Below are 18,666 nucleotides of genomic sequence, written 5' to 3' on the forward strand. Positions count from 1 at the left end.
GCTGGTCTCCTTGGCAATTAACGTTCACTTCTGCTTTTGCCTTAGATACTGAAGAGCCCAGCTCCACACCACGACTCCAGCTACACTCCAGCCTTGAAGGATCTGAAGCCCACAGTGTGGGCTGCTCCGTTTGGTCAGAGCTTCTCAAATCCCTGGTGCATGCGAACCATCTAGGAATCTTGCGGAAATCCAGGGGCTGACGCAGAGGTCAGGAGTGGCCTGAAGTTCTCTCAGGAGAAGCTGATGGTCCCAGAGCACACAGGGAATACCCATCAAGGCTCTGCATGTGTTTGGCTGATGGCAAACTGGACACCGGGGATTCTAGTCCTCGGCCCTCCCAGGGGCAGTGAGGGAGTCTCACCGGAATGGAGGTGGGCGGGAATGGAGGTGGCCGGGGCAAGGCCTGGCTTTTCTTACATGGTGCTCCCACTTTCCATCCAGAAAGCCATGCTGTTGCTCTCTTTGCAAGCATGAAGCGTGAGGCCAGGCAGCATGGCTGATGTGCATGGGCGCGGGGCTCAAGGTCAGACCCCGCAGGGGTGGCTGTCCTGCCAGGCAGAGATCAGCTGGTTTAGACCTCATACTGACCATACCCACCAGCTCTATTTCCCCCATTATGAAGATGGAGGAACTGAGTCCCTTGAGCTGAGACAATTGGGCTGACCTTTTGTGGGCCACATGGCTCCTGATGGTGGAGCAGGGCCTGGCTGCATCCCCCCACTCCCTGTCCAGTGCCTGCCCCACTAGGTCTTCTTTTTTAAAAAGTTTATTGAGACAGGGTCTCTGTCACTCAGGCTGGATCACAGTAGTGCGATGAGCTCACTTCAGCCTTGAACTTCCGGGCTCAAGCAATTCTCCCGCCTCAGCTTCTGGACTAGCTGGGACCACAGGTGCGTGCCACCATGCCTGACCCGTCAGGTCTTTACAAGGAGAATAAGAACCTTGGCTGGGGAACCCAAGATAGGTCGGTCAACACTTCCTTCAGCCTCCCTGAGTTGAGGCCTCCCATGCAGGGCACACTTTGGTGGCCCTCTCCCGGACCCCTGCTCCAATCGGGTACCCCAGAGCACAGGAGGAAGGGCCTGGCTAGCCTGGCTCTTCTGACCTGAGCAAAGGGGTCCCCCAGTGAAGGTTTTGTTTTCAAAATCTACAAGCAAACAGGACAAGGGTGGGGAGGCAGATGTTTTCCACGGATGGCTCTGCCTTGGGCTTTGCTCTGGGCCCTGGGTGGGTGAGGCTGGAAGAGGCTGGGGAGCCAGCACAGGGTCTCAGGTGTGGCCTGCCCACCTGCCCACAGGTTGCCCCCGATCTGCTGGCAGACCTGGGCCTCTTGTCCCTGACCTCGTCTCCCACTCACCTCTCTCCCTCATCCCCGTTTCAGCCACAGTAGTCTCTGTTGCTCCAGCAGCAGCCGGCACCCCGCCCGCCTCAGGACCTGACCCTTGGCTCTTCCTGTTTCTGGGGCCTGTCTTCCTCCAGACAGCACCTGGCGAGCCCCTCACTGCCTTCACGTCTTTGCTCACATGCCACCTTCTCATGGAAAACTGCCACCCTCGCTCTCACCCGGCACTGGAGATTGCCCTCACCTGCCTACCATTTTTCGTAACACACCGACCTTCGGACCTGTGAAACCCTCATTTACCGCCTGTCTCCTCTAACCACAACGAAAGCTCCATGGCAGGGGGACCGCTGTTTGCTGTGTTATCATCTCCTCAGTGCCCAGCTCTGAGCCAGGAAGTGCTTTGATTCCTTTGCTGAACCACTTCTGCGGAAGGCTGCTGAGTGCGGCTGCAGTTCCCACATGGCCCACGATGGAGGAATATTTGCACTTAGGACAGTGTCTCCCACCTGGAGCTCCAGCAGGTCTGGGATGGGGACTGCCATCTGGCCGGGTGACAGCTGGTTACAGTTCACTATGTGGAATCGCTAGCACCAAGGTGGTTTCCTGGCATCCTTTTTCTCAGGCCACAACTCCCCTCCTGCATTTATCATCCTGAGTCTGTTTGCTCCATGTCTTCACCCACCTGGCCTTCACTCATCCGAAGGTGGCCTCACAGGCTGGCAGGGGCAGTCTGGGCAGTGGCTCAAAGGCCCCCTTGATACCTGCAGTTTCCTGGGCGGAGACACAGGCTGCTGCTCTGGGTTGAGCTTCCCTGGGTTGAGTGATGCCCCATTTCCCAGGTCCCACCGGCCAGAGCATCTGAAGCTCCCTGCTGAGTTTGGCTGTGCAGCAGTGGCTCTGTGTGTAAATGCTGGGCACTGAGGATACACAAAAATCCCAATATGATGTGTACAGGATAATGCCTCATCCCAATCACATGTCCATTTGTGATTGTGTTTGTTAACAACCCTTTATCTCTTAGTGTTATAAACTCCACTTAAAACTGATTAAAGTCTCATTCTTGTCAAGAAAAAAAAAACAAACAAACAGAAAAAGCCCATAGAATTCCAAATAGAAGTAAGAGAAAATCTATACTGCAACACATTCGAGTGAAACTTAAGACCATCAGAGATAGAGAGATGCCTAAAAGTCCCCAGAGAGCAGAGAACATGACGAAGGAGCAAGACTTGGACAGAACCACACTTTCCAACAACCACATGGACTGTAAGGCCACAGGGGAGGAATAATGGTTTTGAGTACCGAAGTGAACACTGAAATTTTGAGTACTGAACTTTGCACCCTGAATTTTACATCCAGCCAACTGTCACCCAAGTGTGAGGGCATGGCCAACACATTCTCAACCACAGAAGGCCCTAGAAGTTGGCCACATAAAGACCCACGTGGGAAACACTCAGGACCAGCACATGGTTCAAGACATGAGAAGATCAAAGGGTGATCAGATTCCGAAGCGAAGACTGTTTCCCGCCTCCACCCCCATCAATTAGCTAAGATCCAGAAGAGAAAGAGAGTGACAGGATGGGGACTAGGTGGAGGGGAGATCCTGGGACACGAGGGAGCAGTCATGTGACCGAGGAACATATGGATAACATTTTTATTTATAAAAAGAAAGGATTAACCAAGAAACCTAGAAAAGGCAGGGGACAAGCTGAAACCATAAACTTGTCGGTAAAAAGGCAAAGACTGTTGATTGGATAGAAGCCAAAATCCAGCTACAGGCTTTTTAGAAGAAAGACAACTAAGTCATAAATCAGAGGAATGAAGAGGAAGGGGTGTGGATGGGATACAGCTGAAATTTCTTGAAGCTGGATGTGGGGTCCGTGCATGGGAGTTCATGACACTGTTCTGCTTGTGCAAACATCTGAATTTTTCCATTATATATATATATTTTTTTTTTTTTTTGGAGACGGAGTCTTGCTCTTGTCGCCCAGGCTGGAGCGCAGTGGCGTGATCTTGGCTCACTGCAACCTCTGCCTCCTGGGTTCAAGCACTTCTCCTGCCTCAGCCTCCTGAGTAGCTGGGACTACAGGTGCACGCCACCACGGCCCACTAATTTTTATATTTTTAGTAGAGATGGAGTTTCACCATGTTGGCCAGGATGGTCTCGATCTCCTGAGCTCGTGATCTGCCCACCTTGGCCTCCCAAAGTGCTGGGATTACAGGCGTGAGCCACCGTACCCGGCCTAAAATGTTTTTTAAAAGACCATTCTGAACCCAAATTTCTCTCTTCTCCAAAAGTCCAAGACAGCTGTCTATCCCTAATTTTTACATTATGCCCATCACTTGAACTTTTAGAAAAGAAATGAACGTGTAGAAACTGGTTTTATTTTGCAGTAATATAAGTATGGTCATCCCTTGGTATCTGTGGGGGATTGGATCCAGCACCCCCAAAAGATACCAAAATCCATGGATGCTCAAGTCCCTTACAGAAGATAATGTCCTATTTGCACATAGCTTACACACATCTTCAAATTGTCTCTAGATTCTGATACCTAATCAATGTAAATGCTATGTAAACAGTTGTTACACTGTATTTTACACAGTTGTTTAGGGAATAATGGCAAGAAGAAAGGTCTGTGGCCGGGCGTGGTGGCTCACGCCTGTAATCCCAGCACCTTGGGAGACCAAGGTGGGTGGATCACCTGAGGTCAGGAGTTGGAGACCAGCTTGACCAATATGGTGAAACCCCGTCTCCACTAAAATTACAAAAATTAGCCAGGTCTGGTGGCGTGCCCTTGTAGTCCCAGCTACGCAGGAGGCTGAGGCAGGACAACCAGAATCGCTTGAACCTGGGAGGCGGAGGTTGCAGTGAGCCGACATCATGTCACTGCACTCCAGCCTGGGCGACAGAGCGAGATTCTGTCTCAAAAAAAAAAGAAAGGTCTGTGTTTAATACAAATACAACTACCCATTTTTTCCTAATATGTTTGATCTACAGTTGGTTGAAACCAGAGACACAGAACCTACTGAAACAGAGGGCCTACTGTATGCCCGTTGCCTCCAGAAAGTTTCCAAATTTCTCTTTGTTAAGATCACTGTAGCTCAGGCCCATGGATCTCATTGAAGATGGCGGGGCGATCTGTGTCTGGCATTACCAGAAGAGTCTTCATGTGGACAGTCTCAGGGACAACACGTAGAGAATTTGGGTCTCGATCCAGAAAAGAGAAAGTGCCAGTGGTTGCTGAGACAGAAGAGGTGAAAAAGGAACCTATTGCAGTGTGTCCACCCTCATGAAGCTGAGGATACTCACCACCTGGAGATCTCCAGAGTCATTTGGAATCTTATGTTAAAGAAGCTTTTGGTTCATCTCTTCCTGGTAATTGGCACGACATCTCCCAGGAAGATGGTCATCTAAAGTTCAATCTCTTGGCACATTTAGCTGATGGCCTGGGTCACGTAGTCTCTAACTCCAGACTCCACCAGATGTGCGGGGTTAGAGATGTTCTTGATTTCTATAATGTCCCTATTCAAGACAGACCTAAATTTGATGAACTCGGTGCCAGTAATCTGCCCCCTAGTTTGAAAATCACTTGGAGCAATTCGGAAGAGAAACACATTGAAATCATTTTTTTCCCTGAGCAAGGGGCCTGCTTATTAGACCTTTTGAAACTTCACCATGTGAAATACTACCAGAACTGTTCTCTAAACACACTTGTTCTATAGAGAAATGTATCATCTCTTTTTTTTTTCTCATATTATGAATGGGCAAATAACAGGACTTTCTATTTTCGTATTTGCTGACACCATTTTTTTTTTTTGAGACAGAGTTTCGCTCTGCCACCCAGGCTGGAGTGCAGTGGCGCGATCTCGACTCACTGCAAGCTCCGCCTCCTGGGTTCACGCCATTCTCCTGCCTCAGCCTCCCGAGTAGCTGGGACTACAGGTGCCCGCCACCACGCCCGGCTAATTTTTTGTATTTTTTTTTTTTTCAGTAGAGACAGGGTTTCACCGTGTTAGCCAGGATGGTCTCAATCTCCTGACCTCATGATCTGTCTGCCTCAGCCTCCCAAAGTGCTGGGATTATAGGTATGAGCCGTTGCGCCCGGACTTTTTGAAACCATTTTAAAATGAAATTAGATCATTAATAATTTATGAAAAATTTTGGGAGGACATGGTCATTCACTTGGGTTTAAGACAGGAGGACACTGCAAGTTCACACCCTTCATAGGCATAAAGTAGTAGTTACAAGAAAATATTTTCATCCTGTTAGGACTCATATCTAAGATAGAGTTATAGAGTTATTATACATTGCACATATACAAATAAACTTGTATTAGATATCTATAAAATAAACATAAAAGCATGTTGTATATTACTGACCATTCTAGATTAATTTCTTTTGGAATTAAAGTAGATTTGTTAAAAAAAAATCGCTGTAAATTGTCAGGAATGAAAGAAAAGCTATGGGTTTAAATTGATCTTTTTATTTATTTATTTATTATTTATTTATTTTTGTTGTTGTTTGTTTGTTTTTTAAGATGGAGTTTCGTTCTGTCGCCCAGGCTGGAGTGCATTGGTGCGATCTCGGCTCACTGCAACCTCCACCTCCCAGGTTCAAATTATTCTCCAGCCTCAGCCTCCCCAGTAGCTGGGATTTCAGGGGCCTGCCACCATGTCTGGCTAATTTTTTTGTATTTTTAGTACAGGTGGGGTTTCACCATGTTGGCCAGGCTGGTCTCAAATTCCTGACCTCAGGTGATCCACCCGCCTTGGTCTCCCAAAGTGCTGGGATTACAGGTGTGAGCCACCAGGCCTGGCCACAAATTGATCTTTTGAAGTTAAACAGACATATGTACATACGTCTTAATATACATACATGCATGTTTCTATGTATGCCCCTTCACATACTTCCCCACAATCTGACTCTTGAAGGCTATCAACAAGAATGCTAATAATGGTTGCCTGTAGATGCTGAAATCACACAAGGGCCCTTTTCATTCTTTTCCTTCCCCCCGAAAAGATCATGTGTCCCAAGCTGCATTTACGTAGCAACAGCTAACTTGTTTTCCCATCATGATTAATCAGAGTCATATGCAGCGGCCCGTCGGAGCCTCTGAAGGCTGCAGATAGACACCAGCCTCACACTGGGCTGATAAAGCTCCAGCGGAAATCCCAGCGACCCAGCCTTGGGTTGGCCTGGGAGGCTGATACCTCACCAAGGCATGATTTTCCTCAGAGGTTGTGAAACAGCAAAAATCATTGGTGGGTCTCCTTACGGCCTCCAGGGACCTGAAAAGGGGACCTGAGTCCATGCCCATCTGGTGAGCAGGGTGAGGCCCAGCAGGGTCTGGTGGCCCTGCTTGAGGCCGCCTCCCCCTCCCTCCCTGTCCTCACCGCGCACTGAGGCACTGGGAGCCGCACTGGCCCGAGACCTTTCTGCAAGGATGGAAACGTCCGCTGAGCCACCCACACGGAAACTGAAAGGTGGCCGTGGAACACCTGAAATATGACCAGTGTGACCGAAGGACTGGATTTTATCTTTCATTTAACTTTTTAAATTTAAATAGCCACGAATGAACCTTGAACACGTGCTAGGTGAAAAAAGCCACACTGTGTATGGTTCCACTCACAGGAAATGTCCCGAACAGGCGAATCCAGAGAGACTGAAAGAAGTAGACACGGGGATGCCAGAGCCTGGGGGACGGGCATGGGGGGAGGGGTATGGGGAGGGATTGCCAGGGCTTCTCTCTGGGGTGATGGAAACTTTCTGGAATCAGACAGTGGTGACGGCTGCACAGTGTGTGAATACACTAAAAACCACCGAGTCATACACTTTAAATGGTGAATTTTATGTTGTGTTATATCTCTATTAAAAAAAAAAATAGGGCCGGGCGTGGTGGCTCACGCCTGTAATCCCAGCACTTTGGGAGCTGAGGCGGGCGGATCATGAGGTCAAGAGATCGAGACCATCCTGGCCAACATGGTGAAACCCTGTCTCTACTAAAAGTACAAAAATTAGCTGGGCGCACTGGCGGGCGCCTATAATCCCAGCTACTCGGGAGGCTGAGGCAGGAGAATCACTTGAACCCGGGAGGCGGAGCTTGCAGTGAGCCGAGATTGCGCCATTGCACTCCAGCCTGGTGACAGAGCAAGACTCTGTCTCAAAAAAAAAAAAAAAAAACCCAAAAAAACAAAACAAAAAAAAAACAAAGAATAAATTTAAATAGCCACACGGACTAGTGACTACCATATAGGCTAGCACAGTTCTAGAAACTTAGAGGAGTGGTCTAGAACTTTGATCATCCTCCCCTGTCCTGGATTCATGCCTCCCAGCCCCAGCAGTGCCCCTCGGGGTCTCGCATGCCTCCATGTGCCTCCTGATGGCCTGTGACCTCACCCCCGCCCCTGTTCCCATCCAGCTCCAGCTGCCCTGACGCCGCCCCCCGACTGGCCTTGCCTTGGCCTCTCCACCTGCCGCCCAGGGCTTGGGCGGGCTCTTCCCAGCAGCTCTGCCTCTTGCAGGGACCTCTGTGTTCCCACGCACTCGGGGCGACTCTGGGCTATGATCACCTGCTTTCTTCTCATTATTTTGCTGAAAAGAACCCCTCCTCTACCTCATTGCTAATGGCTTTTTCTTACTGAGGAGGGGACACCTCAGGCAGAAGGCCACCCTAAACTGCCCCTGGCAGGGTCAAGGCCCCATCCTGTCTCCCCCACCCCCACCGCAGCCCTGTCATGCTGCATTCTGGTCCTTTTCCATGTTCATGGCTACCTCCCTTGGCAGTCAGGGTTGGGTGTGTGGCCTCAGGGCTCCGAACGGCGCTGGGCCAGCAGGCATACCCTCACAGCGGCTTCCCTGCTAACAAAGTGCCTCACGCCCATTTACTACCTGGCTTCTGGGCTGAGCTCCCTGCCTGGCTGCAGAGCATTCTGCCTCAGGAGGGGAAAGGGGTCTGCAGAGCCCCTTCCCAGGACCAGGCCCCCATGGGTGCCCAGTGGCTCCCACCTTCCTAAGTCTGATTTAGGGAGGGACTTCCAAGAGGTCCTGGGTCCTGCCACTCCACCTGCTCTGAATCCAGCCCTTCCTCAGCCCTTCCATCTGAGGCCCAGCCACTCTCTGCACACGGCCCAGGCCAACCCCCCAGCAGGGAGGGAGATCAAATTCAGGGCTGCAGCTCGTCCCACTGCAGAGGGTCAGCCTCCCCCACCCGCGTCAGCAGCACAGGCCGACCCCCAAATCCCACCTGAACCCAAGCAGGAGTGGGGTGAACACATGTGCAAAGGTGCTCTGCTCAACTTAACACAGAAGGCGGCATTGTCTTCCTGCGTCTTGCCGGGCAGTCTGGAAGGGATTCTCGGTAGAGCCGACGAGGGCTTACCAAATTCTCAGCACAGCGAGAACTCGGATGATTGATGCGGAGAAAAACATTGTTACCAGCCCCTCATCTGGTTTGTATTAAGAGGCTTCCATGCTTGGATTTTTTTCCCCCCAAGGTAAAAACCAGCAATGAGTTGAGACCAGAGAAATAACAGGGGCACAGGCAGCTGGGTGAGGGGAACCAGAGCTGAAAGATGTGACAGAGGTCGGGGTAGGAAGCCCCTCCCCACTGAGGACTGGCAGGAGGCAGAGGCCCACTGCGGCGGGTGCCCAGGAGAATCACACCGGTGTTGATAACCCGGGTGATGCTGTGACTGGCTTCCTTTCTCACTTTATTAAAGTCACAATAGATTTGGCAGCAGACAAAAGTGGCTGGTCCCCTCCGGCCCTCCGCTAGGCGGGCCCATCCCCCATGCCCCACACCTGGCCCTCCCTAGGCAGGGCCACCCCCCACGCCCCACGCCTGGCCTCCCGTGCCTCCCGCTTCCTGCCTCACCTTTCCACGGCACTATCACCGTCCAATGTAATGGGAGGCTTTCCTTTTTTTTTGTCTTCTGTCTCCCTTGGGGGGAGCCCCAAGAAGATGGACTCCACACCAGAGTGTTGACTGAGTGAATGAATGATGGACCAAGTCCTACTGGGGTCCCCCAACCCTCACCTGGGCCCCAGGCTCCTCCTTGCAGGGGTGAGAGTGGGGGGAGGTCTGTGTGGCTTCAGCTCCACTAGTGGGTGTGATCTAGAGGAGGCCGCCCCCTGCAGTGGCCCCTGACTGGAGGGGGACCTCTGGTACCTCCCTGGGGTACTCTCTCCCTCCCAGGCCTGGAGAAGGTGGGCAGGACTTGGGAAAATTCCCACCTACAATGAGGCACCAGTGCATGTGCACCCAGGGTCTCGGGTCCTATCAAGTCTCCTGGCCTTCAAGGTCCTCAGGCCCTCTGTGCCCCCTCTCCAGGCACCCTAAAACCAGGTTACAATGCAAGCTGGCTGTGCCCAGGGACACCAAGCCTGTGCCATGCTCTTCCCCTGCCTACAATTACACTGAGCACTTTCCCACGCAGTCAGCTTCTACTCAGTCCTCGGGCCGAGCACCCATGCCACCTCCTCCAGGACGCCCACCTGGTCATGCCCCTCTCTGTTCCTTCTTGCTCCCAGCCCTGCCTGGCTCTGAAGCGTGCTTCTATTTCTCCATTTCAGTCCTTTGCGCTTGGATATCATCAGCTCACCCTCTGACAGCTCTTTTAGGGTCCCAGCAGCCAGCACAGTGCCTGGTACACAGCAAGTTGGCTGTGTGGCTGCGTGAAGTTGGGGAGTGGCCGGCATGGCACTCCAGCACCCAGCACGGCATCTAGGGCAGGGCCGTCAGGAAGCAAGGCTGGATGAACAGAGGGGTGGCTGGGCCCAGCGCGATGTCAGGACTCTGCAATGTGGGGAGCAATCAGGAGGAATCTGGCACAGGTAGCGTGTGGCTGCCCCAAGGATTCCTCACCAGATAATTATAACCCCGGGTTCCAAGAGCCACAGAGGAAGTGTGGATATGTTGCAATGACAGCATTGAAGGCGGAGTGATTCATTTTGCTGGGGGGCATCTGTTAATGGGACCAGGCTGCCCGAGACCCTGGGCAGCCCTGCTGCTGTGCCAGCCCGTTAGGCCCTGTGTGTGGCCTGCCCGCTCTACTCCCCTGGCCTTGACTGAAGCTGCGTCACTTTTCTTGTCCGAGGGCCTTTCCCTGCAGCACGCAAGCCTCTCTTCCTGACTCTGGGCCAGCTATGTTGATCTTCACTTTTAACAAACCGAGGTGCAGAATGGCCTGACAGCAGCTATCTATCCAACAGTCATGTCCCAGGCCGGAATCCTCCCAACCAGGGAGGGACCACTTCCTACCTGACATCAAGGACAGGGCCAGCGGGGGTGGTCTCCTGGGGTTGCCGACCCTGAGAAGGCCAAAGCCCCGGGGCTGCTCAGGCAGGAAAGTCACGCTTCGCAGCTCCACTGACTGTCCCCGCGGGGTGGCACAGCACTCATGCCCAGCAAGAGACACGGAGACGGGCCTCTGAGTGTCAGGACGCTCACGATGAATGAGGTGCAGCTGCAACTGGCTCTGGAGGTGAGCAGGGGGATTCTGGCTCTAGAGAAAGATCTAGGTGGGGAGAAAGGGAGCAAGAGGAGGAGTGAGGGAGAGCAGGCTCAGCCTCCCGTGCTGGCAGTTACCTGGCGGATGAGGACGGGGAGCAGGAACCACATTTTCTCCCGCTGTAGAAGCAAACCTTTGGATGAGCAATAACGGGTGTGCACAGTGTGACTGGTGCCTTGGCGAGCCTTGCTGGGGACCTGTCTCAGCAGCCTCTGCCCAGGGAACTGGGAGCTCAGTGAAAACAGCCAGCAGAGAAATGACCCCCAGGGCTGGTGAGCTGCCACAGGACCCCCAGGGGCCAGTGAGGCCGCACTCGGCCCACTGTTTCTTTAACAGGAAGGATGAGACAGAAAACAGCGTCTGGAGTGTGGGGGAGACACGAGGTAGCAGCGCAGGCCGGGGCAAGGTTTGGGGTCATCTGGGGATCTCAGATTGGATCCTGCTGGGGACAGTGCTGATTTCTTGGTGCACAGCCTCTGGGCTGCATTCTGTGTTCCAGGCTGTTTGGGACTAATTGTGCCCCCCCAGTTTATATGCGGAAGCCCCTAGTCCCCATTGTGACTATATTTGGAGATGAGGCCTTTAGAGAGGCAATTAAAATAAAATGAGGTCATAAGGCAGGGCCCTAACCCCGAAGGACTGGCGCTCTTATAAGAAGAGGGGAGGCCAGAGCTCTCTGTGTCTTTGCCAGGTAAGAAAACAGCAGCTGCCTACAAGCCAGGAAGAGAGGCCTCGCCGGAAATCAACTCTAATGACACCTTGGTCTTGGATGTCCAGCCTCCAGAACTTCGAGAAAATAACTTTCTGTTGTTGAAACCACCCGGTCTGTGGGATTTTGTTGTGGCAGCCCTAGCAGACTAAGGCACAGGCCCTAAGCTAGATACTTTCATCCTGGCTTCTCTACTCAGCTCTCGGGCGGCCCTGTGAGGGGGGCATCGTCCTCGCTGTCCTGGTCTCACCAAGAAGGTGCAAGACTTCAAGAAGCTGCAGGCGGTTCTGTGACTGGATCAAGTTTGCAGAGCTACGGCACAGTTGTCAAAACACCTTAGCGCTTTGGATCTTCTCTCTCTTAAAAGAAGAGACAGATAAAATGACCACTTTTGAAATTTGCAAGATGCAAATGCTATTAAAGAAATTTAACAAACAAAAAGAGTTCAGCCAATGAAGTGAGAACTTCTGCTGAAGAATGAACGTGGAGGAGGGAAGAGATGAGACAAACCCCCACGACCTTAGGTGTTTAGAGCAACTGCGCTTACAATTCTCATAAGGAGCAACAGTTCATTGTAAAGAGGAGTTTGAATTACAATAGATAAAATATAGAAGCACAGCTCCTCTTGACCTCTTTTCAATACACAGCAAAGACAAACCTCTTTACCTTCTCTCCAGAGAGGAATGCTGCACCCAGCTAAGAGACAAGGGCGATCCGTTTCTCGTGGCCTAATAGACAATGTAGGCTAAAAACTCTGGAAGATGCATTCTCTTTCTAAGCATGCCCCTCTGAGTGCAGTGGTCTGCCTGCTCACCAGGTACAAGATGAGATAAACATAACTGCCCCCCAGGGCTGCTGAGAGGGGAGTCTCCGTCTCTCACACTTGTGTAGAACCAGGCCCAGCACGTCTGTTTGTCCATCCTCCTCACACCGAATATTTTGGGGAGAAAATAATGGAATTATTTCCCACTTGAGAAAAGAAGAGTTGGCAAGCTGCTCTCACATACCATTGAAAGGGGAAAATATATGAGAACGTCTTCAGAAGGTAACTGGCAATGTACACTCCACAATCTCAAATGCACATACGCTTTGATCTAGCAACTCCACTCTGAGGAATTCATCCTCAGATATACTTCCACATATGCACAAAAGCATGATGTATGAGGAGAATCACTGCAGCGTCACGTTTAATAGAAAAAGACTGGAAACAATTCCAATGCCCAATAATGGGAAATGGGTGAAGTGAATTATGGCATACTCATGCAATGAAACTCTATGCAGCCTTTAAAAAGAATGGAGCAAAATGAAGCTATAACAGTAGTAAAAAAAAAGCTATAAATTTCTTTTATGTCTGATTTGAGAAAGGCCCTTTATGTATGACACAAACCTCAGAGGCCATAAAAGACTGATAAATGGGAATATATTGAAAATTTTTTTCATGATGCAAACACAAAACCCCCCAAAGTAGTTAAAAGTATAAAACTATGAGAAAATATTTCCAACCCACATGAAAACTTCCTTAAAACATTCCTAGCAATCGGTGAGGAAGATGTGAATAGCCAAAAGAAGAGTGAACCAAGGATAGGACTGGGCCATTTGCCGAAAAGGAAACGTAAGTTTCTCTGAGACATACCCAAGTCACCTTTAGTCATAGAGAATCGCAAATGACCTCTTCCCTGGGACGCAGCTTCTCCTCTCTTAGGATAAAGTAGTAACATGAAATAGTACCCACTTCCTGGGAAGCACATCCTCAGCTGCACAGAGGAGGCCAGGGTGTGGGTGACATCTCTCCGTGGATGGGAATCAGCGCTGTATCATCACAGACGCTTGGACCCAGCAGGTCTACATCTAGGAATTTATCCCTCCCATGCACTCACCCCAGTGTCATTTAACGCAGCCATTCAAAAAAAACTAGGACATTCCATGCGGGAGACAAAACATCTCAGATAGACCACGATGTAGAAACAAGAGACAAAACTGTGTATGTTGTGCTACCGTTGAGTTAAAAAAAAAAAAAAACCAAAAAAACCCCAACAAAAAACAGGGAGAAAAGACTGGATTTACATATGTGTTTGTTTGCATGAGCCTAAAACACCCTGCCCGGGAGGCAGGGGTGATTGGCACCCAGGCAAGGCAGTGTGGTTGCTGAAGGACAGGGGTGGTTGGGACTTTTCCCACTGGATACTGTTTTATACCATTTGAATCTTTTTTTTTTCAGTTTTATAATTCTTTTCCCCTATTTTTATTGAAGTATAATTGGCAAATAAAAATGGTATTGCTTGACTGATTGACTGGGATAGGGTCTTCCTATGTTGCCCAGGCTGGAGTGCAATCGTGATCATAGCTCACAGCAGCCTCCAACTCCTGGGCTCAAGTGATCTTTCTGCCTCAGCCTCGAAAATAGCTGCGACTACAGGCACATGCCACCATGCCCTGCTAATTTTTTTTACTTTCTGTAGAGACAGGGTTTTCTCATGTGATATGGTTTGGATCTGTGTCCCCACTCAAGTCTCCTGTTCAACTGTAATCCTCAGTGTTGGAGGTGGGGCTTGGTGGGAGGTGACTGGATCATGGGGGTGGTTTTAATGGTTTAACACCATCCTCTGGGTGCTGTTCTCATGACAGTGACTGAGTTCTCGTGCGATCTGGCTGTTTAAAAATGTGTAGCACTTCACCCTTCGCTGTCTCTCTCTCCTGCTCTGCCATGTGAAGATGTGCCTGCTTCCCCTTCACCATCCACCATGATTGTAAGTTTCCTGAGGCCTCCCCAGAAGCAGAAGCCACTATGCTTCCCGTACAGACTGTGAAAACGCGAGCCAATTAAACCCTCTTTTCTTTAGGTTGGGTGTGGTGGCTCATGCCTGTAATCCTAGCACTTTGGGAGGCCGAGGCAGATGGATTGCCTGAGCTCAGGAGTTCGAAACCAGCCTGGGCAATACGGTGAAACCCCGTCTCTAGTAAAAATACAAAAAATTAGTTGGGCATGGTGGTGTGAGCCTGTGGTCCCAGCTACTCGGGAGGCTGAAGCAGGAGAATCGCTTGAAACCGGGAGGCGGAGGTTGCAGTGAGTGGAGATCATAGCACCGTACTCCAGCCTGGGAGACAGGTGAGACTTTGTCTCAAAAAAAAAAAAAAATGGATTTTTAAAATGCAGAATAGTAACTGTTTACATAGCATTTACATCATATTAGGCATTATAAGTAATCTAGAGATGACTTAAAGCATATGGAGGATGTGTATTGGTTATATGCAAATACTACACATTTTACCAGGAATTCAAGGCTGCAGTGAGCTAGGATCACACCACTGCTCTCCAGTCTGGGCCACAAAGAACCTCAAATAAAATAAGATAAATAAAATAAATAAACAAGCATTTTATATCAAGGACTTGAGCAGTCCAGATTTGGGTATCTGCAGGGGGGTCCTGGAGCCAATCCCCCATGGATATTAAGGCACAACGCTATACAGATATGGAAACATTAAGTCATACATCTAAAATAGATGCAGTTTTCCAGCCTGGGTTACATAGTATATTAGTCTGTTCTCGCATTGCTATAAAGAACTACCGAAGGCTGAGTAATTTATAAAGAAAAGAGGTTTGTTTTTATTTTTTTGGAGACAGAGTCTTGCTCTGTTGCCCAGGCTGGAGTGCAGTGGTGCGATCTCGGCTCACTGCAACCGCCGCCTCCTGGGTTCAAACAATTCTCCTGCCTCAGCCTCCCGAGTAGCTGGGACCACAGGCTCACGCCGCCAAGGATGTTAGCCAGAATGGTCTCCATCTCCTGACCTCATGATCCGCCCGCCTCGGCCTCCCAAAGTGCTGGGAATACAGGCTTGTTTGTATTTTTTTCTGAATTTTTTTTGATCTGTGTTTAGCTGAATCCACAGATGCAGAGCTGCAGGTTCAGAGGGCTGACTGCGTATTGCGAAATGATTGACAGCACTGAGCTAGTGAACATGTTCACCAACTTGTGCAGTGATTATACCACTTGAATGTTGAGTGAGCAAATATCTTACCTATTAAAATTAATACAGTAAAATAAAAAGACTGAGGCAGATTTCTATTTCCTGATATGGGATGATTTCCAAGATTTCTTGAAGTATAAAACGCAAGGTGCTGAGCACGCTGCAGCATGGATGAAGCTTGAAATGGTGCTCAGTGACAGACGCAGGCACAGAAGACCCCAGGCTTAGGGCCCCACTCTAAGAAATGTCCAGAATAGGCAAAGCCACAGAGACGGGAAGCAGAGGAGTGGCCGCCTGGGGTTGCGGAGGGGAGGAGGACAGCCAATGGGTACAGGACTTCTTTTAGGGTGACGATCATGGTCTAAAGTTGATTGTGATGCTGGCTGCACAATTCTGAACACACTGAAAACCACGAGTGGTGCACTTTAAACAGCTGGAGTCTGCGGTCTGTGAACTGTATATCAATAAAGCTGTTATGAAAAAAGGCAAGGCGCAGCACAGGGGGTAAAGCATTCCACAGCTTGTTTAAAAGAGGGGGCATTTGTTTGAGGTATGTCTGGGGAGAACCAGAAGACACCAGGATCGACTGCCTCAGGAGAGGGGCCTGAGCCCTGGAGGCAGGGGTGGGAGGAGGCATTCTGCCTCAGGAATGCATTCCTTCTTCCCAGAAAGAGAAAGGCAGGGTGCAAAGGGTTAAGGGAGAGAAGGCGAGACACAGGAAAAAAAAGGCAAAGGAAAGCAAAAGTCAGCGCCTCCCCAGTCCCCACATTAAAGTAGCCATTGCCGCCGGAGCAGAGCCGGCTTGGCTGCCTGAGGAGGAGGCACGCGCCAAACCCAGCAGAGTGATGCCTGGGCAGGAGTTACGCACCCTCCCCCGGCCGCCTGGCACCGAGATTGGCTATGCAGCAGGAGGAGATGCCAGGGCTCCGAGCCTCAGGAACCCTGGTGCTGGTCCCCACTGCAACCCCCTGGGGTCTGCGCACTGAGCCTCTCCAACCCAGCACACCCGTGCCCACCTCTCCAGATAATTAGAGATGCTGCATAAAAAAAAGTCTAACACAAAGCCTGACGCTCGTGGATGCTCAACAAAAGTTAGGCTGGCCTTTTCCAAACAGTGCTTCGAGTCAAATGCAAGTATTGTCTAAAGTCTGCAGAAGAAAGGAAAATGAACGGAGCTAAAGATGTACTTCCCTTTACTCGATGCTGTTCTCCTGTTCCCTTCTGTTCTTTCAGTATCTAATTGCATTAAGCACGGGTTCCCTCCCTGGTGACCTGGGGCTTCCCAGCAGGAAGTGACCTTGAGGGCGCCTGCCCAGTGACCTGCTTTCTGAAGTGCCGGGTAGTGCATCCCCTCAGATGGTGACCTCCTTCCCTTCTCACAGGCTTCTGGTCTGTCCACGCCCTCAGGAGAATGCCTTTTCTGTGAGCCGGCGGAAGTGCCTCTGCCCCCTGGGGTCGGGGGGTCAGCTTGGCTGCAGGGCTGGGGCCGCACAGCCTCGACTCAGAGAACTCACAATGAAATCAGGCCGGGCATGCAGGCTCTTGCTGGGAACAGCACACTGGGGAACTGTGCGCCTTTGAGGTTTTAACCGTCCGCTGGGGAAACAAGTGAGTTCTTTGAAGGAAAACATATTTTGGAATCTGCTCTGAATGATACCAAGAGGCAGGCGGCCTCCAGGGGCCAGCCTTTGACTCTAGGCTGATGGGTATCACCCTTGCTTTCACATGTTTGTCCCAAATATAAAGGAATTTACCCATCAGCTGAAATTTTCAGTTGTTATTTTGCTTAATGTCAGGTCAGATTTAAAATGTGTGTATGTGTGTGTGTGTGTGTGTATGTACGTGTATGTGTGTGTGTACGTGTATGTATGTGTGTATGTGTATGTGTGTGTGTATGTGTGTGTGTATGTGTGTATGTGTGTTTATGTGTATGTGTGTGTATGTCTAATGTGTATGTGTATGTATATGTGTGTGCATGTGTACGTGTGTGTGTATGTGTGTCTAATGTGTGTGTATGTGTATGTGTGTATGTGTATGTATGTGTGTGTATGTATATGTGTGTATGTGTATGTGTATATATGTGTGTATGCGTGTGTGTATATGTATGTGTGTGTATGTGTGTGTATGCGTATGTGTATGTGTATGTATGTCTAATGTATGTGTATTGTGTGTATGTGTATGTACGTGTGTAGGTCTAATGTGTGTGTATGTGTATGTGTACGTGTGTACGTCTAATGTGTGTGTATGTGTATGTGTGTATGTCTAATGTGTATGTGTATGTATGTGTATGTGTGTGCATGTGTACGTGTGTATGTGTGTCTAATGTGTGTATGTGTGTATGTGTATGTGTGTGTATGTATATGTGTGTATATGTGTGTATGCGTGTGCGTATATGTATGTATGTATGTGTGTGTATGTGTATGTGTATGTATGTCTAATGTGTGTATTGTGTGTATGTGTATGTGTACGTGTGTATGTCTAATGTGTGTATGTGTATGTGTATGTGTGTATGTGTATGTGTGTGTATGTGTATGTGTGTATGTGTGTATATGTATGCGTATGTGTATGTGCGTATGCGTATATATGTGTGTGTATGCGTGTATATGTGTGTATGTGTGTATGTATGTCTAGTGTGTGTATGTGTGTGTATGTGTACGTGTGTATGTCTAATGTGTATGTGTATGTGTGTGTATGTGTATGTGTGTATGCGTGTATGTATGTGTGTATGTGTCTAGTGTGTGTGTGTATGTGTACGTGTGTATGTGTCTAATGTGTATGTGTATGTGTGTGTATGTATGTGTATGTGTGTATGTGTGTATGTGTATGTGTGTATGTGTATCTGTGTGTGTATCTGTGTGTGTGTATGTGTGTGTATGTGTATGTGTGTAAACATGATATACCCATGTGTGATTTGTATATAAGCCCCCACTCATATAAAATCTGCACCTATATATTAAATGCCTGTTTATAAAGGTTCCTGTGAAAACAATTTAAAAATAAAGGGAGAAAATGATCCAGATTCCATCACCTTTACATGACTGTAGTTAATATTTGGTGTAAATTTTTGTTCAGAACCAGATGTCAAATCCAACTGTCTAATAAAAGGCTTCTGATTTGCTTTGGAAGAGGAAAGGGTGATCTA

At 49.5% G+C, this 18,666-nt stretch overlaps 1 protein-coding gene and 1 pseudogene across 11 annotated transcripts in view, besides 4 other annotated features; one reads left to right on the forward strand and one right to left on the reverse strand.

The window, feature by feature from the left end:
- COL23A1 (collagen type XXIII alpha 1 chain) overlaps positions 1–18,666 on the reverse strand; it is a 352,776-nt gene that overhangs the window by 102,760 nt on the left and 231,350 nt on the right. The gene's annotated exons all lie outside the window — the stretch shown is intronic.
- MRPL50P3 (mitochondrial ribosomal protein L50 pseudogene 3) lies at positions 4,440–5,140 on the forward strand (annotated as a pseudogene).
- Positions 9,524–10,064: an enhancer, noted in NCBI's record as "H3K4me1 hESC enhancer chr5:177776902-177777442 (GRCh37/hg19 assembly coordinates)". NCBI's record gives its function as "activates a minimal SCP1, AML or CMV promoter by ChIP-STARR-seq in naive H9 embryonic stem cells {active_cell/tissue: H9 hESC(naive)}" and the evidence as "EXISTENCE:reporter gene assay evidence [ECO:0000049][PMID:30033119]".
- Positions 10,065–10,604: an enhancer, noted in NCBI's record as "H3K4me1 hESC enhancer chr5:177777443-177777982 (GRCh37/hg19 assembly coordinates)". NCBI's record gives its function as "activates a minimal SCP1, AML or CMV promoter by ChIP-STARR-seq in naive H9 embryonic stem cells {active_cell/tissue: H9 hESC(naive)}" and the evidence as "EXISTENCE:reporter gene assay evidence [ECO:0000049][PMID:30033119]".
- Positions 10,605–11,145: an enhancer, noted in NCBI's record as "H3K27ac-H3K4me1 hESC enhancer chr5:177777983-177778523 (GRCh37/hg19 assembly coordinates)". NCBI's record gives its function as "activates a minimal SCP1, AML or CMV promoter by ChIP-STARR-seq in naive and primed H9 embryonic stem cells {active_cell/tissue: H9 hESC(naive and primed)}" and the evidence as "EXISTENCE:reporter gene assay evidence [ECO:0000049][PMID:30033119]".
- Positions 11,146–11,685: an enhancer, noted in NCBI's record as "H3K27ac-H3K4me1 hESC enhancer chr5:177778524-177779063 (GRCh37/hg19 assembly coordinates)". NCBI's record gives its function as "activates a minimal SCP1, AML or CMV promoter by ChIP-STARR-seq in primed H9 embryonic stem cells {active_cell/tissue: H9 hESC(primed)}" and the evidence as "EXISTENCE:reporter gene assay evidence [ECO:0000049][PMID:30033119]".

The sequence above is a fragment of the Homo sapiens genome, chromosome 5, assembly GCF_000001405.40.
Source record: "Homo sapiens chromosome 5, GRCh38.p14 Primary Assembly".
Taxonomy (NCBI): domain Eukaryota; kingdom Metazoa; phylum Chordata; class Mammalia; order Primates; family Hominidae; genus Homo; species Homo sapiens.